The sequence below is a fragment of the Homo sapiens genome, chromosome 20, assembly GCF_000001405.40.
Source record: "Homo sapiens chromosome 20, GRCh38.p14 Primary Assembly".
NCBI classification, from domain to species: domain Eukaryota; kingdom Metazoa; phylum Chordata; class Mammalia; order Primates; family Hominidae; genus Homo; species Homo sapiens.
In genome coordinates this window covers 58,128,381-58,149,491 of record NC_000020.11, presented here as the reverse complement: position 1 = coordinate 58,149,491, position 21,111 = coordinate 58,128,381, and the positions used below count along the sequence as shown (strand labels likewise).

The following is a 21,111-nucleotide window of genomic DNA, read 5'->3' as shown; positions in this document are numbered from 1 at the left end:
CTGGACTGTTCTCCAAGGTCTCCATTCTTACAACAGAGGGGAAGATATTCTGGGAGGAAATAAGTGGATGGCTAGGAAGAAAGATCCATTATGTAGTAAGAACAAATTCTGCTTTCCTCCTTGGGAGGTTTTGAGACATTTCTGTTAAGATGATTAATTAAGACTAAATTCATTAACAGTGCCAGACATCGAGGGTTCCTTCATCCTATGGACGTGTGTTGAGAGCTTTTGATGTGTCTGGTGCCAGGAGGGAGTCAGACCTGCAAGGTCTCTGCTTCCCTGGAGCTGGCACATCGAGTGGGAAGACAGATAATGAAGCCAGGAAACAAATGCACGTGTGACCTGGTGCCAGGGAGAGAGGCATGACGTGCTAGGAAGAGAGTCACACCAGGGCATGAGGCCAGTGGGGGCAGGGACAGGCCAGGGGCTGTGGGGCTGTGTTAAACAGGCGGTCAGGGCAGGTCTCTCTGAGGAGGAGACATGTGGGTGCAGATCTGGTGTGGAAGATCAGAAGAATTTCCCACAGAGCGGGTGGTGTGGAGTATAGTTCCCGAGGCAGGAGCAGCATGGGGTGTTTGAAGAATGCAAAGGGGGCCGGTGCAGCTGGAGGGTTCCATGGAAATGAAATGGGTGCAGAAATGGAGAAGCAGGCACTATGCGTCCCCCAGGAGTTCAATCTAGCAGGTAAGCAGATGTGAATGCAACTAAATGATAACGCAGCCTTATATACGAAATGACATAGGGTATATGTGATTCAGAGCCAGCCCCAGATGAGACAGAAGAGGACAGAGGAGGTGATGAGTGAGTTGGGTTTTCAAGGATGAATAAGAGTTTGCTAGTCTTCTCCATTCTCCTTGGCAATATCTGCACGGGGTAGCCTGGGTCCAGGACTAGAAATGGGTAGAGTACCGGATAAATGTCTGGGTTTTGGGATCCGACGTAGCTCAGGTCTCGGGTTTGCTGTGTGCCATCTCAGTGACCTTGTGCATATTGCTTAACAACTCTGAGCCCCCATTTCCTCATCTGGAAAAGGGGATCATGACTACACCTCCCAATTTTAGGGATCTGCAGAGGCTGAGAGGAGCAAAGGCAGAGAGCTCTGCGGGAGCCTGACAGCGGGGCTCCCAAACAATGGAGGGCTTCACTCCTGGTTTATCACATTTGTTGTCAGCGTGCAGGCAGTTCCCTCAATCTAAGACACTACGATTTGGGGGAAGGCGTGGGGAGATGGAAATGTGGCTTTGGGTGGAAGTGGGGTTTGCTTCTTGAGGATGACAGTGTTGAAGGAGAGGCTGTGGATGGCCGGTGGCTGGAGGCTGTCCCCAGGGAAGGCTGGGTTCCCCTTTCTCAAGAGGTGAGAGAGGACCCAGAGCTGCACTCACCAGGGACTGCTCCTCTGGGCTCTGCCCTGAGTCTGAGGCTGTCCTGGTCACCCTCAGGGCACCAGCATTCCCCAGCCCCCGTGGGGCACTTCCCTGCATGCTCTGATTTGATGGTGAGATGGTCTGGATCTGTATTCCCTGCAAGTCTTATGTTGAATTCTAATCCCCAGTGTTGGAGGTGGGGCCTGATAGGAGGTAATTGGATCATGGGGGTGAATTTCTCATGAATGGTTTGGCACCTTCCCCTGGGTATTGTCATTGCGATCACGAGTGAGTTCCCGCGAGATCTGGTTGTTTAAAAGTGTGTGGCCCCTCCCCCGGCCCTTGCTCCTGATCTGGTCTGTGATGTACTTACTTCCCCTTTGCCTTCTGCTGTGATTGCAGCTTCCTGAGGCCTCCCCAGAAGCCAAGCAGATGCCAGCATTATACTTCTTGTACAGCCTGCAAAACTGAGCCAATGAAACCTCTTTTCTTTATAAATTACCCAGTCTCAGGGATTTCTTTGTAGCAATGTGAGAATGATCTCATACAGATGGTCACAGCAACCCCTTGCAGAGGGCTTTGTGACCATTTTGCAGAAGGGAGAACTGGCTCAGTGAGGAACCCTGGCCTTGGAGGGCAGCTCTTCTTCCTTCCTTCCTAGGGGCAGAACTCCTGAGGAAGATGGGGAGCAGACATTTCTGAGTCTTCCTCTCTCTCGTAACCAGGGAAGATGGCTTTATCTTCCGAGATGACTTTCAAGGCTGAAGCATGGCTGTGAATCTCAGCAGTACGTGAGGGTTGAGGAAGCAGTGCAGGTCCAGCTTTTTCTGAGGTGGTGTCTGTAAAAGGCAAAGTTTCCCCTTTTGGCAGCACTGTTGGGGTCACATAGAACCTGCCATATGTCACTACAGCTGACACGCAGACTTAGACACCCTGAGACGCCCACCTCCTGGGTCTCCCCTGAGACTCCTTCCTTGTTTCAACCAACTATGAACGGACCCACAAGCTCGCTCTGTCCAATCAGGATGTGCGTTATCAATCCTTCGTTAGCAGAACCACCAGGAGCCCCTCTTCCAACCACTGAAATGCCTCTCCCACTCAGCGGTATGGCCCGATTCAGCAAATAAAAATACAGGATGCCCAGTTAAACTCAAGTTTGCATGGGGGTGTACTGTACTTCTACTGAGAAATCACTCGATTCAAATTGATCTGGGCATCTTGAACCTTCGGTGCCACCCCACCCTCAGTGAGTTTCTTCACTGGTCCGTGCCCCATGCTCGGCAAGTTAAGACATTCACATACATCAAACTCTATTTTTAGTTTTAAGCTCTGGTGGTCTTTTTCTTTGTTTTGTATATCCTCCTCCATTTTCCTCGCTCTGGGGGTTGAAACCCCCTCCCTCTGATATATGAAACCAATTCATGAGTCCCTGGCAGACACAATTTCTTCAACCTAATATATTTTTTTTTTCTGGCAAAATTGTTATTCCACATAGATTTCCAACAGGAAGAGTGGAGAGAGAAAAAGAACTGCCGTACTTGCTGACTACACGTGGGAAACTAGGAAAATATTTACAGCTTGTAGAAGGTTCGCCATGTTCCCGTGTATTAATATTTTTGGCCCTCTCTCAGTTCTCTGGGACAGTTTATTTTTTATTTTTTTCATTTTGCTGTTGCTTTATAAAACATGTCGACAACTGGAGCCAACCGCTTCTTTTTTAGTTTTTAAGCTTAAACAGCTTTCTTTTTTATTTTATGATTTTTTTTTTAAACCAAAGAATGCTTTGTGCCATGAGTGGTTTCTGCCAGCCTGCATGCCTTTCTCACAGCACGGGTGATCATTACCTCAACTGCACAACAAAAGCATGGAGGCTGGAGCTGAAAGTGCCAATTTGTAGGGAATGTATTGGATGGCTTAACTGAGCTTCAGCTTAAGGGACCCAGAGGTTCTTCTCTTTTCACACTCATTATGCCCTCTTTAGTCACAGCCCACGAACTCCCCTCCTGCTTCACAAATAGTCTCCACTCCACACACCTAAAGTAACAATTAGCATCACTCTCTGGGTCTTACTGAAGAAGAACAAAGCTGCACCCCTCCTGCTGCACCCAGGAAGCTCCCTCGTAAGTCTGCCCTCTATTTGGCCTAATTATCCAATGCTGCTCCAATGAGAGGCTGCGCACCAAGCTGAGGGTGGATTTCATCCCCCTCTCTCCTCCTGACATCTCTCAAGCCAGCTCTTGGGAGGTGAGAAAAGCCCAACCCCTGTGTGAAGAGATAGTCAGCTGACGCCAGGGGAAAAGAACCAACTTAGATTTCCAAGTGTGAATCCCACTCAGTGGTCCTGGCCATTTAAGGTGGGAAATGCCTGGGAGCCCTCTTCAGGCGCCATTAGTGGTGAAGGCGGAGAGGGTATTCTGAGCTTTGGCAATGGGCAGCCCGTTTCCATCTGCCCTGAAGTTTCCATGCCTGGGAAGGAGCCTGGCTGGAAATGTGGACAGTTGGGGAATGGAGCTTTGGCTTCTGAAGGGTTAGATGTAGGTTTCAGTCACAAATACTGAACTTGACTGGGAATTTAAGTGCAGTAATTCTCTAGGATTCCAGACCATTTTACTTAACTGGGATGGCAATGGGGAGGACTCTGTGGCCCATGGAGGGTCAGACAGAGGGTTTGGAAGGAAAACTGGATCATTGGGTAGAAGCAGGTGGAAGGAGGTTTTTTCCATAAAATTACAACACCCGTTCATTCGTTTACTCAACTGGGTGGCACTAGGGAAACTTGTACTACTGTGTACATGGTTGAGCTGTCAATCTGATGATGACAGTAGCAGAAGTAATAGCTGAAATTTATTAAGCACTTCCAATAAGTATTTCCCAAGCATCATTGCATTTCATCCCCATAATAGCCCAATGATGTAGACTATGATCATTCTTATTTTGCAGAGGCAGATACAGAATCAGAGAAGTTGAGCCACTTGCTCATGGTCACACAGCTATAAAGATGGAAACCAAGGTCCAGATGCCCTTAGTCATCAACAAGACTAATTTCAAGTATGCCTGGACTATATCTGTCTAGGCCCCTTAGATGGATAGTGGACAGGAATGTATCATTTCCCAAAAAACAGTCTCAACAATTTGAATGATTATAAAGACAGTGAATGGCATTGCTATTTTCTGTGTTTTCCTACTCTCTCTCTCTCAGATTTGAGTGAAAGGTATTTCAGATGAAAATGTGTGGGTATTTGTTAAGGGCCTACTGTGTGCCTAGCTCCCTGTGTGGTGTAGGTCGGCACACAGAGTGAACAACGGGCAAGGCTGTCCCCGAGTGGATGGTCTGGGGTCAAAGTCTCACTCTTCCTTCCAGACCCTGCCACCTGGAGAGTGCTCAGCACATAGTGGGCCCTGCTTTGTCCAGTGAAGGCTATTCTATCCATTCTGAGGATGGACACTTCACCCAGGACATGAAATGGCATAAGTGGTTAAGAACTGTGGTCTCCATCTTCATGGCAAGGAGAGCTCTTTTCCTATCATGGACGTGGAGACAAGCCCACTGGGACCCTGTGTGTTTTATCTAAAAGGCAAATGGATTTGTGGATTGATCTCTTTCAGCAGCCTTCACACCGGTGTCTGGGGAGACATCTCTTTGAGACTCCTATTGTTCATTTTCAGATAACTTCATATAAAATGGATTTTAAATGAAAGCTTGGGGGCTCTATGAAATCCAGAAGGCTAAGTTGGAAATATCTATTATTTCAGAGATTTGCTGGCACTGTGATTACAGAGGAGCTCTGTACGTGCCAGGTCTTTTAAACTCAGTTAATGAGAATCGCAGCTGCGACGGCTCCCAGTTCCTGACCGTCTAATCATTGCAGAGGATTAGCGGGGGTGCTGGGATGGGAATCTGGGGGGACTTCAGCAGGTACAGAGTTAAGGGGCTGTGATCTGCAGTCGGCCTCGCTGACCTGCGTTTTTTTTTTTTTTTCCCTCTGTGATTGGGAGAGAGAAAAAAGGAGAGAGTGAGCAAGTTGAGATTCTTGGGTTTGTAAAATTTTTGTGATGCCTTGACACTGTCCATGATAGAAGAGATGTCCTGAGCTCCAAGCTCTTGGGGTCACCTAGACATACCCAAGGAAGTTGCAAGTCCTCCTGGATCAGAGGAAGTTTGGAATCTCCAAGAAGAAAGGAAGCCTGCTGCTGGAGTCTCCCAAAGACCCCCTGATGAATATAAGAACCCTACATTTGTCCTGCTTATCAGCTGGGCCTTTGTCCTAACTGGGTGCCTTTGAATGGCTTTGGTCTGGGAGGGGCACACTATGACCTGTTCTATGTATGTGCCTCTGGCCTGGAGAATGGGCTGGGAAGCAACACTGGAGGTTGGGGCCTAGGAGGGGGTTTGCTGATGTCTAGATGTGTGGTGATGAGGCCCAGGCCACAGAAGTAGCATTTGGGTTGGAGAGAAAGATACAGGGGGTATGGGAGAAATGAGGAGAATGTGTCAGCCAGGACTATCTTACCTGAAAGGGTTAGAGAGTCAGCTCAAATCAGCTTTGCATGAAGACAGGGGATTATTTAGCTCTCATGTTTGAAGAGCCTAGAGGCTTCAGATAAGGCTGCATCCAGGGGTTCAAGGATTGCCATCAGAACCAGATCTTCTTGACTCTGTGCTCCCCTGCATTGGCCCATCTCAGGCAGGTCACTCTGTGTGCCGACCTACACCACACAGGGAGCTAGGCATACAGTAGGCCCTTAACAAATACCCACAAATTTTCATTTGAAATACGTTTCACTCAAGTCTCAGAGAGAGAGAGTGGGAAAACACAGAAAATAGCAATGCCATTCACTGTCTTTATAATCATTCAAATTGTTGAGACTGTTTTTTGGGAAATGACACATTCCTGTCCACTATCCATCTAAGGGGCCTAGACAGATATATTCCAGGCATACTTGACATTAGTCTTGTTGATGACTGAGGGCATCTGGACCTCCAGGTTGGATGGAGGTTGTTGTCCTCCCCGTTGCTCCTCCGCATGTCTCAGGGTTTGCGCCGACTGCACTGTTGTGGGTCACGTGCCACCGTGGTCACCATGGTCAGAGGACAGAAGCTGACGGGCAGTCTGGGGCCCCATGGCCACTCCAGCCACATGGATCCAGAGTGAGGCATGTTGGTTCCTGAAGAGACGACCAAGGTGCGGCAGGCAAACCTGTGCTGCTGGGGTGTGGAGGCCTGGGGATGTTGGCGGGGGGTGGAATCCATGTCACAGGTGGCTCTGAGGTGGGACCAGGGGCTGGGCCTGGATGCCACGAGTGGAGCCTCCCAAGGGTCGGGGCAGACACCACAACGTTTGGACTGGATTAAAGCAGAATGACTCCGTGGCTCTGCCTGAGGTGGGTTTCCCTGATTTATAGATGCGCAATGATCTGGCTCTCGTTTGCCTGTAACTCAGCTGTCACTTCCACTTTATCTCGTATTTAAGACCCTGTCACGGTGCGATGCGTTCACTGCGCCTTGTTCAGGGAAAAGGGGTGACCCTGTGCAATTTTGCTTTTATCTCCTGGGACAATCAGCTTTATCACGCTGGCCGTAATCAGAACAGGTTTTACAGGAATATATTTTTTTTCTTTTGGGTTGAATGCAGAAGATGTTTTGCTGGTGAGTTCATTGTGCTGGGGGCCTGTGGAAACCTGGGCTCAGGGCTGTCCTTGGGGGCACTGAGACAACCTGGCCATTCAACTCAATTGTCCAGCCCACTCCCCATCCAGTGTGGGAGGCTCAGCCTGCCTCTGGCCCTTTGCTGGTTCTTCCCAAAACCCATTTTACGTCCACATGGTCCTTACTCTTCAAGACTGACCTTGAGTTCCTGGGGATCACAGGGTCCCCTGTTGTCCTTGAGGCCTCTGCTTGACGGGATGAGGGGCAGCCCCACCTGAGCCCCACTCCTGTCCCTATGTGACTGTGTGCTCCGGGAAGGCAGCTCCATCTCCTTGGTTCTTGTTTGGCCCCAGTGAAGGACCTGGGCTCAAAGGACCCTTGGGTCCCACTGCTCCTGGCTCTGGTCTCTCATCAGGATGCCCAAATAAACAGGATGCCCCCGCGGGAGCCCAGCTGCCGAGCCAGGTGGGGATTGCCAGTTGTCACTCATTGTCCAGGTGGCTCTCTGCCCTGGCCATGCTGGTGCTCCTGCTTTAGAACAGATATTTTGTATCATCCCCTTCACTGTCTTGTGATGACATTCAGAGATAATATAATGCCCTAGCTAGGAAATCAAGGAGAAATAAGAGGAAAGTAATATAAACTAAGGAAATAGAATGATGGGGATGGAATCCTCCAGGCTTTGCTGCATTACGAGACAAGGGGGGTGGGCAGGTGGCCAGGCCTGTGGGTGGGATCCTCCTGACTGTGCCACCCCCCAGACTGTGCCACCTCGTGACTGTGCCACCCTGACACTGTGCCACCCCAGATGCTGTTGACTCAGAGTAGAGCATATTGGCCACTCAGCTACCACAGTGACATTGCTGTTGGTGATGTGATTTTGTGAAACGACTCTTGGTTTTCACTGAATGCATCCAGCAGTTTTATTTCAGAGAAACTAAAGCCAAATAAAGTGGCACGGGAAACATTGTGGATTTTTATGTGTGAGAAGACCTTGTACTTCTGTGTGAAAGGGAAGGTGGTTCCAGGCTTAGATAATGTGAAGCAGGATGTTCACTGACAGGCACATCCAGTGGGTTATTCCCAAGTCCTTGGGGTGGGGACTTTGCTTTGGGGTCCTGACTGCCTTGTATGTTGTGGGAAAGCCTTTTCCCTTGCACACCAAGTGGTGCTAGCATTGTGATAATCCCCAAACAGCTCCCTACCCCAGCATTTCTAAAATTCTCCCCCAAACCTCTTGAGAACCCCTGCACATTATATTCAACACTCACAGCAGTCCCGGGGTGGGGGTGGATATTTCTGCTGCCAGCTTACAGAGAGACCTAGGAGGGGAGCAAAGATTCCCTCTTGGTGTTAAAGGCACTCACAGGCTGGGCAGGTTTCAGTCTTGTGACATTTGCTAGTAAGAGTCAGCACTTCTAAGCTCAATGCACGCATGTATCCAATTATTTATCAGACACTTAGTGACAGCCAACATAGATTAATCAGCACCAGCTCTGCTCTCAAAAGGCAATTATCTTATAAGGGGGTGGACTGGGTTGAATGGCGCCCCTCCCCCAACTCCTGTCCACCTGGAACTTGTGAGTGTGATCTTATTTGGAAATAGGATCTTTGCAGATGTAATTAGTTAAATTAAAATGAGGTAATACTGGATTATCAGGTTCCTAACCCAATAACATGTCTTTATGAGGAGACCATGTGCAGACACAGAGACACAAACACACAGGGAAGAAGGCCATGTACAGATGGAAGCGGAGATTGGAGTGAGTCTGCCACAAGCCAAGGATTGCCGGCAACCCCCAGAAGCTGGAAGAGGGTGGGAAGGATCTTCCCCTGGAGGCTCTGGAGGGAGCACGGCCCTGCTGAAGGCTGGATTTTGTACTTCCAGCCCCACGAATGTGAGGGAAGAAATCTCTGTTGTTTTGAGCCATTCAGTTTGTGTTAATGTGTTAGGGCAGCCCTAGCAAACCAATTCAGGGGCACACACGGATACTAACACCCACAGTACAGACTGCTGAGTGCCTGGACAGAATCTCATGGGCACAGTGAGAAGGGGCCCCTGGTCCAGGTTTCTAAATCCAGCAAATCTTCCTTGAGGGAGGAGACCTCAAACAAAACATACAAACCAAACGCCCAGCATAACAGGCTCTGGGAGGGATGTGAGCAGCCTGTGAATGGTTAGACAAACTCCATGACTGGGACTGTCCTGGCTCAATACACTCCGACCTCCCCCAGGAGCTGAGGGTGCAGCGTGGAGGAGGGGCTGAGTATGGTTTGATGGCTCCAGGGTGGGGTCCTTCAGCCTCACGAACCTGGCTCCATATCCCAGCCCTGCCAGCCCCTGGCTGCGAGCACTCAGGCCAGCCCCCTAGTCTCTTTCAACCTCGGTTGTCCCCATAACGTGGGCATGATAATGGTACCCACCTCAGGGCTCAGGGAGGAGCCAGCGACTCGGCACATGAAACGTCTTAGGACAGAGACCAACCCGTGCCACGGGAGGGTGGTAGCATCTTCCTGAACAGAGAGGGCCACGTCCTCACCAAGCCTCATGCATGTGAAGTGCATGGGTTATGTTTCACGAATGGGCCTTCCCTGAAGGTACAAATATTAGAAATAGGAAGGAGAGAAAGACTGAAAGATGGAGATGTTAGGGGAGAAATGCATGACTGTTGCCAAGGGAAAATTACGCAGGACTCTGAGATTTCACCTGCCTTGGGGATCTTCCCGGAAATATCTGCCTGGAATGTTGCGACTCTTCCTAGGAACCTGCCCAGCCTGGTGCAGAAAGCATCTCAATTTGCACTGGGCTCTCTTATGTCATTCATTTTACTTGTAAAATGGCAGACATTATTTCTCTGCAGAGCTTCCCCAGGATACAGGGATTTCAGAAAAAAATTCCGGGAAAGACTAGAAAAAAGCATTGGCATTTTCTATACAGGATTGCAAATTTTAATTGCTGCAGCCCAAGTTAAAGAAGAGCCAAGGGTTCTTCATCCAGGATCGTCAATATTGGTTGGGCACTTACTATGTGCCAGCATCGTGCACCTGCAATACTCTGGAGTTTTAAAATGAATCCAAGGTGGACATTATCCCATAAAGCAGATGAGGAAACAAGATGGCTGTGCTACTGGCCCAGGACAGCTGATTACTGCCTATAATAAAATCTAAAATGTCTTCGGTTATTAAACACTATTGCCTTATGTACCATAAAAATACCATGGCGTGGAAAGGGGGCTTGCATATTAGTGCACTTGAAGTTGACTTTGCTGCAGGAAGACTTGGTGGAGAAGTAGCCAGGCACACATGATCCCTGAGCTCCTGCTGCTGCATGGGAGGTGTGCAGGGCTGGGCACAGCTGGATGTGGAGCACCTCAGAAAGGGCTCAGGCAGAGGATCCTGCCCTGTAATGCTCTACCCACACATAGGGATGGAGGCCAAGGGGTGTCTAATCCACAATTAGTGACCTTGTAGAGCAGGCGGCCTCGTGCCCAGCAGCTGGTATCAGTCTGTTTTCCCTGGAGACAACTCAGTCGTGTGGAGCTAGCTCCTTACTCACCTCGAAAAAGAGGGAGAAAGTGAACCTCCCAGGCCATCCAGGTGTCTGTCATCACTTGGGCCTTTAAACCCAATATCCATCAATCAGTCATGAGTTGCATCTCAATCTCAGAGAAGTTAAATTGTGAAATAACGTGTATTTTAAAATCAGTGAAATAAAGGGTTCACCCAGGTCTGGTGAGCACAGGGAACCTGCCTCTACAGTGTAAAGGCACCCACCCTAGCCAGTTGCCTCACTGGCCCAGGAGGGCATCTCCGATCTCTCCCACTCCTTGCTCTTCTGCCAAATCACGTTGCTGCAACCTCACGGTGGATTTCTGGGCACCCTCCTGGGCTGTGACTGAATCTCTCTCTCAATGGGCTGCTAGTGGTGACAGTGAGTTTCAGGGTCTTAGTGGCAGGGAAGTGGGGACGATAGAGGACAAGACCCTGTGGGAGGTGCTGGAGATTGGAGGTTGGTGATAGCAGGTGCATGAAGAATTGGGCCACAGAGAGGGAATGCGTGGTGCTTGTGGTGCTGCAGGTGTGGTCAGGTGATCACAGGTGGCTCTGGCAACTTGGCAGTCTCCTAGAACCTCAGCTTCCTAACCAGAGAAGTGTCAGACATCCTCGCTGTCATCTGTTCTGGAAGCTTTAAAGGTGCACAACTCTGTGCTTTGTCCAGTTTAGTTCAGTTCACAGTGAAATTCATTCATTCATCCTTTCATTGATTCACGCATTCATTCACAAATATTTGTGAGTGTCACATGTGCATGTACAGCAGCAAGCAAGTTAACATGGTCCCATTGTTACGAATCTTTCTTTCTGTCAGCCCCAGTGGGTGGTGGGCCCCATGGGGTACAGGGGGTGATGAGGGAATGGTGGTATATATGCCCCAGCCTGAGACTCCAGGGGCTCCCGGCCTGCGGGGTGGAAGGTGGTGTCCAGTTCCACATGGGCATTGAAGGAGGGGCACAGAGCTTCCTTGAAGATCTGCCCTGTCCTGGCACAGCTGAGTGGTCAAGGGGACGTGCTGCTGTATCTGAGACACAAAGGATGGGGACTAGGAGGATGGAGGCCCTGGCAGAGGGAACCATGGACATAGGCACTGGCGTGGGAAGTAGCGAGTTCATACCCCCTCCCTAACCTGGTCAGCTTCCACCCAGCCCTGCATGGATGCACAACCCCTTCCACTGCCCTCCACCTGGCAGAGAGGGCTGGACAGTCATGAGCTGCCTGTGCTTGCTGAGGGCAACGTGTTTGCTCTTAGGGTAAGGGCGAGGCTTCTCATGGTGGACACAGGCCCTACCTGGGCTGACCCATTTACCTTGACTCTCCCTTCCACTCTCTCAGCCCCTCCTCACAATCTGTGCTCCTGCCACACTGGCCGCCTTCCCATCTAGGAAACACTTCAGGCAAATTCCCACCTCAGCGCCTTTGCACTTGCCACCCCCATGCCTGGCGTACACTCTCCGTTTCTTCCTCTTCCCTTAGAATACAACTCTGCTGTCACTTCCTCCAGGAAGCCTTCCCAGACCAGGCCAGATGCCCACCCCATTTCTTGGTGCCACCCTGTCCTCTTCCGACAGCGTGCCTTCCTAGCAGGTTTTCACAGTTGAGTTTTCGCAACACTGAACTCTCAGAATCCAGGACAGTGATGGCTCTTGGTTGGCACTCAACACATATTTGATAGACAGATGAATGAGACAACGAGTGAGAGAACGGGGGTTGTTGGGGAATTGTCAGGCTGCTGTTCCCAGCACACACTCATGCCAACGGGCTCCAAAGAACCCACGAATTAATTGGCATCCTGAGTGTTCAAAATGTTTGCAGAAATCAGGACAAGGCGGGAGCAAAACAAGGCCCTATCTTTGTGTCTTTGTCTTCCCTTCCTCCCTCCTTTAGGGTTTCTTGCTCACAGCCGTGAATGCTGCAGACCCAGGGAAGGTGCCCACCATACCTGGGCCCTCACAGCCCTCATTGAGCTGCTCCCCAGCTCAGCTATGCACAGTGGAAGCAGGAGAAATATAAAGACCCAACTTCGTGTTCCTTGGCTCCTGTGGATTTAAGTGAAACTCTTAGTGTTACTTCAGAGTAGATTTTTTTTTTGGGAGATGGTGAGGTGGGGTGGGTATATTTTATGCAAAGCCTGTTTCAAATCAGAGAGAGCATTTCCCCCCTTCTTCCTCTCCCATGAAAGGCAGGAGGTCTAAGACATTTTAATAGCTTTCATATTCCTTGCTCCAAATATATTATTTCAGCACAATAGTTTCTTTGCTTAAATGATTCAAAATGGATTTAAAAATATATTTCAAGTTTTAATTTTATGCACAGCACATTAATGAGCGGAGTGCCTTAGAGACTGCCTGTCAGTTCAACATATTCACAATATTCTCAGCACAGATGTTATTCCATCTAAATCCTTTTAGGGGGAAGAAACCAGTACTTTTTTTCTTGGGGGATGTCAGAAAATATATTATTTTTGAAATTATATTTTGATCCCAGAATTCTACACAAAATGTCATTGTTAGGGTCTGGGTTTGTCAAGTGACTTGGACACCAAACTTTTAAAAAGTGGGGGAAGGAAAAAGCAGCCCAGGATGTTGGATTTGTTTCTCGCCGTTGCCTTCTCTGGACGAGGACTTCGCGCTGCAACACACAGGATGAGACATGATGAAAACTTTCCTGAGCTGTGCACTTGGAAGCTTCAACATCTTTTAAACAATGGCAAAAAATTGGAAGGAACTGGGTTGGATACAAAAACATTTAGAAAGAGTGGCTCTCATTTTTTGTTTTGTCTGCTGGAAGACGCAAACTCTCATAGTTAATGCAGCCTTATCCCCTTTGGTTCTCAAATGATGAATCAGGCTCAGTCATTTTTGTGTATGTATTTGCAACACTCACGGCCGGGAGCGCTGAGTTCTTTTGTTTGTAAATACCTACTTGGGAGAGGTGCAGATTCAGAGCCGAGTATTTTCCTCCAGGGTGGGGCCGGCAGTGTATTGCCTTACTCTTGCACTGAGCAGTGAGAAGGGGTTGGAGCCGACAGGTGAGCTCCAAGTGCCCCCGTAAGCTGGGTGGTCATGGGTGAAAGAATTAATCTCTCTGAATAGTTGTCTGTAGAATGGGGGGATGACAGGAGTGCAGGCACAGCACAATGCCTGGGACATGGTCAAAGTCCCGTGAACTTGACCCCTTTTATCTGCGCTGTCAACGTTTTCCTCCCTCTGTCCTTCCTGACAGCGATTTCCCACCTGCAGTCCTGTGCATAGTAGAACGCTCAAAGAGAGAGCTCCACCTCACTTTGTCTGCAAGAATCAGCCAGAGCTGACTCTTATTCAAACTGGCACCACATCCGCGGGGTTCTAGCAAGAATTGCTGGGCTCCTAGCCAGGTAACTGGCTGAGAAGTGCTCACTCTATAGAGCCCCCACCGCCTCCCTGCTGGCTTACCTGAGGGGGCTTGGCAGAGTTGCTGAGCTCAGGGAGGTGGGGCTTCTGGAGTTTGAGACTTGGTCCTCTCCTCCCACTGCCTTCCCTGGCCACCAGTTCAGGGAGGCTGTGAGCAGAAGAGGTCCAAGTGACAGAGGTACCCTCAGCCACTTTCTGTTTCAGATGCTGGCATAGCTTAGCTTTTGATATACAAGAAAGAGACAATTTAAAAGATCCCTCCCTCCCTTTAAAAAAAAGACCTTATTTTTTTAAGAGCAGTTTCAAGTTCACAGCAAAACTGAGTAGAAGGTGCAGAGATTTTCCATAAACCCCCTGCCTCCACACAGGCACGGCCTCCCTCACTATCAACATCCCCCACCAGAGCGGGACACTCGCCTCCCTAATTGTGTTTGTTTTTGTCTTTTGCGCATCTTTTCTTTGTTTTGTGCCTCCTTAGTGTGGCCATAGAGTTGGAACCATACAGTGTGTGCTTTTCAGACTGACTTCTTTCACTTAGTAACATGCCGTCGGTTTCCTCCACATCTTTTCCTATCTCGATAGCTTGTTCCTTTCTTAGTACTGAATAAAATTCCAGTGCCTGGATGTACTACAGTTCATCCATTCACCAACCCAAGGACATCGCGGTGGATTCTAAGTTTTGGCAATTATGATGAAAGCTGCTCTAAACAAATCCTCTGGGTAAATATCAGGGAGCACAATTGCTGTGTGGTATGGAAAGAATATGTGTAACTTTGCAAGAAGCTGTGAAACTGTCTTCCAAAGTGGCTGCACCATTTTGCATTCCCACCAACCAGGGGTGAGAGCTCTCGGTACTCCAATCCTCACCAGCATCTGGTGGTGCCGCCTCCCCCCACTTTTTTTTTTTTTTGGACAAGGAGTTTTTTTTTTTTTTTTTTTAAAGACAGAGTCTCGCTCTGTCGCCCAGGCTGGAGTGTAGTGGCACAATCTCGGCTCACTGCAACCTCCGCCTCCCAGGTTCAAGCAATTCTCTTGCCTCAGCCTCCTGAGTAGCTGGAATTACAGGCGCTCGCCACCACACCCAGCTAATTTTTGTATTTTTAGTAGACACAGGGTTTCGCCATGTTGGCCAGGTTGGTCTCGAACTCCTGACCTCAAGTGATCCACCCGACTTGGCCTCCCAAAGTGCTGGAGTTACAGGCATAAGCCACCACACCTGGCCACCTTTTTAATAATAAAATATTTTATTTTTTAAATTATTGAAATAATGCATACTCAAATAAAAATATAATCTTAGAGTTCCTATGGAAGAAGAGATGCCCTCAGAATAGCTAGGAAATGTGGAAAATGAGAAGAGTGATGGAGGATTTACCTATCCAGGTATTAGTATAGGCTCTAAAGGTCCTGTAACCAAGTCAGTTTTGGTGTCGTGACAGGGACTAGATTAGTGAAGCAGGAAGTGAAGTGGAACTGTCCTTATAACTCAGAAGGTATATACGGAGAGAGCTGATGTTCAAGACAGGAGGATGGATGAACCCTTTGACAAATGGGAGAACATGAAAATGGAACCAATGGTCCATGGATACAGAAATCAACTCTAGAGGAATTAAATACTTACAAGTAACACAATAATCATAATAGTATTGCAAGAAATGTGTGATACTGCAGTTACAATCTAGGGGCCAGGGAGACTGGAAACCCAGAAGCTATAAAGAAAAGATGGATTTTTTATTTTATTTTATGAAGTTGAGAAGTTTTGCCTGCCCAAGAGATCACAAAGGCAATAAACAAAAGGCATTCCAAGAAAAACATTTATAACCAAGAAGTCAGACAAAGGGTTAACTTCTATGCAATACAAAAATTCAAATAATCCAGATGTGTTTAAAGCGAAATGTGAATGTGTTCCCCCTGCCTGCAAGCCCCTTCCCTGGGGGAGATCACTTTTAATGGTTTGATGAATTTCCTTCTGGATGCTTTTTTTCCCCGTCATGCTGCAAAAGGAATTAATTTTAGTTTTCCTCTGAGCTGCAGCGCTGGGAGAGCGGGAGAGCCAAGCTGCCTTTATTTTTATCGATTGCCCTTTTCCCCAAACCTGCCATTTGCATCTCACCTGCCATATCGTGCCATTATTTACTTAATCCTTTCTTTTACATTTACACACTTTTGAAAACATACAGTTATTTTAAAAAGGAAGCTTCAAGTCATGACCATAAGTGAAAAACCAGTGCCATTTGACCTATGTGGAAGGCAATGGTCATAAAAATAATGAAAGCTGATGTTACGAAATTCCAGTTTGGTGCTGTAGCTGCTCACTCTCTCTATTAAAAAGGGTGGTGGCAGCACTGGGGAGGTGCTGAAAATTGACTAGTCCCCACTGGGGACTCTCCTGGGCCAAGCAAAGGACTAAAAAGGAATAGCTCTGTCAGCGTGTGTATCTGTGGTTTTGATGCTACGTGTACCTCACAAATCACCTTGTGACCCCCCAGTTTGGGATGTGCCCTCCTTTCCAAGAACAGTTAATTCGATGGGACTGGATAGAAGGAGAAAAAAGCAGGTCTTCTTTTTTTTTGGAGATGGGGTCTCACTCTGTTACCCAGTCTGGAGTGCAGGGGCATGATCATAGCTCACTGCAGCCTCCACCTCTCTGGTTCAAGCCATTCTCCTGTCTCAGCTTTCCAAGTAGCTGCGACTACAGGCATGACCCACCATACTCAGCTAATTTCAACATTTTTCTTGCTGTGTTACCTAGGCTTGTCTTGAACTCCTGGGCTCAAGCAATCCTCCCTCCTCAGCCTCCCAAGGTGCTGGGATTACAGGCATGAGCCTCTGTGCCTGGCCAAAAGTAGGTCTTCCTGAAGTCAGCACAGTTTAGAAGTCAGTCTTCAATCTTCCAAATACCACAATTTTTCTTTAAATAAACATGCATTCAGAGGAGAACTCAAATGGAAGAAAAACATGCATAATCCTACCAGTAAATTTTCCAAAACTCCTAATGCAGTTTTTTATGACTTGAACTTATCAATATAGTATTTTGAGATGCACTGAAATATTTAGAGAAATTTGGTTGTAACCAATGACAACTAAATACACTTGCCTGTTTTTTCAAAAAAATAAAGGAGTAATAATTTGGTGAAGTTTTCAGAGTGGTTGCCAGTCACTGCTAGGAAAGATGTCGTTAGCTTCTGGCAAGTCAGAAAAGTAGGATGAAGAATCTGATCTTGAAATATCTTCTTTTTTTTTTCTTTTTCATCTTGCTGCTTTTCTTCCCGACACTAAAAGATTTGTCTTCCTGACAAATTGATGTAGAAAGCAGCACACCTGTGACCCAAAGAGAAACTTGAAAATGTGTGTCCTTACCATGCGTTCAGATATTGTAGCTTTAGTGTAAGTTTTAGAAACGATTTCAGTAAAACATGCCTCTTCTAGGTCATCCTGGGATCAGCTCAGGGTGAGGCCCTGGGGAACACAGGATGTGGTCTGTGAACAAAAGGAATATTTGTGCCCGCAATTGACTGCAGTGGGGAAGGGCTCTGATTTCAAACAGAATATTTCAAAAGGCATTGCTTACTCTTGGTCTTAGAGCTATGCTCTGACTGGCTGTATTCCAAAGAAGTCCAGAAAGAGAAGGCGATATTTCAAAGTATTATTTCTTTGTTGCATTCTTCACTCCCTGTAATCACATGTTTCTGTGTATTATCATGTGTTTAATGTCTGTCTGGCCAGCTGCTCTCCATAAGGGCAGGGCTCTTCTCTTGCCCACAGTGCCTCACTCTGCCTGGCACACACAGCAGAACGAAAGAAAAATGGAAATGAAGGTTTATATCCCAAGATATAAATACATAAAACAAACGAGTGTGTTCTGAGTGATTAGCTTGATAATTGCAGACAGTGCGTCAGCCTTCCTGTGGTCTCCTGAGGACAGTTCGGTAGCTAAAAATCTCCCAGCGTTGTCAAAAGCAAGTGCCCTAATTAAGTTAATTCAACTAAGGCAAAGAAGGGAGGAAAGACGGCTGCAGTTTTTTGCAAAGGAATCAAGGGGGATGGAAATAAGAAAATAATTCGCTAGGGGAATAAAAACTGCAAGCCCATCTGAATGAGATTCTCATTTTCTCATACCAGCTTCCCCTCGAGAAGCCAAGTTCCAAGCCATCCGCAAAATGATCACTCAGCATCCACCGGACAGATTGGTGGGGGCCGGTGGGGGGAGGAGGAAGGAGGAAGCAAAGAGACAACACCAGCACCACTCACTGGCTCTCTCACTCTCCGCATTCAACAAGTCCGGAAGGATTTGGTTGCCTGGTACAAAGCCTTTCAGGGAGAAAGTTTGAAAGGCCTTTGGAAATGTTTAGAAGCTCTTCTAAGATGGCATTTTAAAAATTACTTATTTGGATAAAATATGGCATTTCATAGTTCCATTTTGAACATATTTGGAATAAGTAAAGACAAAAAAGAAAGAAAAGAAACAGGAATTTGGATTCTCAGGGGAAGTGGACCGAGATGCTCACCCTTCCCTGCTTCAGTGAGGCCTGGGGAGCCATCAGGGGCCTGTGGACATCGTTCTGGATGAGTTTTGTTCATTTTGCACGAGGTCTAAAAACAAAAGCAAAACAATTGTGCTTTGAACCTGAAGGCAGCTCCTATTTCTTTCTGTGCCGCTCCTCCCTCCTGCGTCCTGGATCTGAGTGTGGGTTTCATCTGCGGCTTAGCAGTGGCGCATGCTGAGCGCGTCCTTTCATCCGTCTGACCCTCAGTATGCTCAGCTGTCTAGTGGGGATGGTGAGAGCCCTGGCTCGCAGCTCAGAGACTGCTATAGAACGGAATGCGGTGAGGTTTGTGAAGCCGTCACTCAGAGCCATGGCCAGCCACTTCTTAGCTGGGATTACAGCTCCGGCAGTCTTGCCACTTCTGGTAACTGATTGTGGAATTGACCTTCAGAAGAAGACGTATGGAGGGAAAGGGAACACAGAGGAGACACAACCCAAAACAGAAATGTGAAAATACGCCTCAGTTTTCTGTTGCAATTATTAGCGCAATAGCTCATACTGAGCCTCTGCCTCAAACTACAAAGCACTGTAACCCATTATCTCGGGCATGTGTGTGCGTACATGCACAATCATTCCTACTTTATACACCAGGACACTCAGACTCAGAGAGGTGAACTTACTTGCCTGAGGATCCACAGCTAGCTGGTTGAATTGTACCTTAGACGCCAGCTTTCCCGGCTCCTTACTCCCGCCGATCCCAGGACACCCCTGACAAGGGTGGCAGTCTGATTTCCTGAAGACAGGAGCTCAGAGGAAGATTAGTTTGCTTTAAAGGGGAAAAAAAAAGAAGCTGACAGTTTGGGGGCACTGGCATTTTGGCTGCAGATTTATACATGCGGCACAAGCCCTCAGGGAATCGGCTTAGAAATCCAAGGCGCATTTGTCAGTTAAATCCAAAGGGAGAGGAGAAAGATCTTAGTCCCTGCCCTAGCGGTGCTCTGTGTGTTGTAGGAAAGGAAAGATGTGGTCATGGAGGCAACAGGGGAGCAGGGGACAGGGTGGGGTGGCGCCAAGACGGGCTGTCCTGAGATGGAGGTGAGTGAGTGGTGGGTGGGACCCCGGGAGGCCAGGCTGTCTGCAGCTGGTGGCGCAGGCCTGAACTGGGCCAGATGAGAGGAGAGCGCTGGAGACGGCTGCGGAGGGCCAGGCAGGCCCCCAGCCAGAAGTGGGGGCCTCTGCTTGGGCGGCAGCTCCCCCTCCCTTCCTCGTGGTTGGCTGCTGAAGTTCCATGGCAACCCTCCTAGCCTGCACACGATCCCCTGTGGGTGCAGCAAAAAACCTTAAGGAACTTTGGCTCAATGAGATCCTTATTCACAGCTCAGAAGTCAAAACTTGAGTTTTGAGAGGGATTGGGAGGAAGAGCTGCACTTTTAGACTCACTTGTCCTTACCTTGAATTTCTTTCCAAGGTTGGCAGGTGGAGGCCAATGGGGTGATTCTGACCCGATATGATATTGTGCGCGATCAGCCTGCCAGTCAACCACAGGCTCCCACAGCCCTGAGGTTGGAGCTTCAGAGAGAAGCAATTTTGACAAACCAGGGCTGAAGGAGTGGAATGTATTTTGGTTGGAATCCATGACTTTTTATTACCACCGATTAAACAGGAAACAAACATTTTGAGCAGGTTCCAATCCTCAGCTGAATGTGGCTGCGCCATCCATGTATGGGGACACTCGGTCTCCAGCCATTCTACCGGGACACGGGAGGGCCCTGGGAGGCACCCACCTGCCTCAGTGTTCCAGTTACTAAAAATGAGACTGGATTTTAAGGCAGTGGATCTGGCCTGGCTTTCTGTGTCCAGGGTGGGCTGGAACTGGATCTGATTAGGTGGGTCTAGGCACTGACAGCACCTGATTTGGTGTGCACCTGCTGAGGACGTGTGCAGGTGGGGAAGGAGGGGCCCACATGGAAGAGGGGTGCATGATGCATGAGCTGAAAGGCGGCATGTGGAGGCTGAAGCCCAGTGGGCTGAGGATTCTGCAGTGGGGTGGCCTGATGAAGTGGGCACTCTGAAGTGTGTCCACCTGCCGTGACCTGCTAAAGCACAGTGGACCCACTGCCTCGGTGGACACCTTGAAGCATTGCTGTTCTGAAGGCACCTTGGCCTAACCAGATGATGACAGGGCCCACCCCAGGGGCCCCTGAGGCCCTGTGGTCACCCCTAACAAGGACGCTTGGGCTGATTATTTTCATGAAGTGTCGGGATGGGCACTGCTTCTCCTGCTGGACTTGAGGTGGTTGGGAAGGGTTTCCCCTAATGTTCTGCCTGAAATGCCCCAGCCAGATGTAACACCTGCCTCCCTAACTCTCTCTTCCTACTCCCATCCCTTGCTCCTTCCACTTGTGTAACTACAGTATAGGGTGGCATAAGCAAAGTCTTCCTAGAGGATGGACACCTTTGAGATGGCAACTATATCTTCTTTATAAGCCTACACCCTTCTGTGTAGAGCTTATTCCACACATCCATCCACCCACCTCCCCACCTACCCATCCATCCATCCATCTGCACATTCATACATTCATCTGTCTGTCATCAATCCATCCATCCATCCAACAAATGTAAATTATGCACCTACCATATGCCAAGCACTGGGCTTGGTACTGAGAGTGAAA

General features: G+C 48.4%; 2 long non-coding RNA genes across 2 annotated transcripts in view; one reads left to right on the top strand and one right to left on the bottom strand.

The window, feature by feature from the left end:
• The window catches only part of LOC107985434 (uncharacterized), a 29,833-nt gene extending 9,940 nt beyond the window's left edge, over positions 1-19,893 (top strand). The window contains exon 3 of the long non-coding RNA XR_001754692.2: positions 18,075-19,893. This is a non-coding gene — a long non-coding RNA (uncharacterized LOC107985434). The remainder of the gene's footprint in view (positions 1-18,074) is intronic.
• LOC107987284 (uncharacterized) lies at positions 15,665-19,962 on the bottom strand. The gene is made up of 3 exons (XR_001754693.2): positions 19,890-19,962; positions 18,461-18,545; positions 15,665-17,730 (listed from the first exon to the last, which is right to left on the bottom strand). It is a non-coding gene; the product is annotated as an uncharacterized LOC107987284 (long non-coding RNA).
• Positions 19,963-21,111: the final 1,149 nt, after the last annotated feature.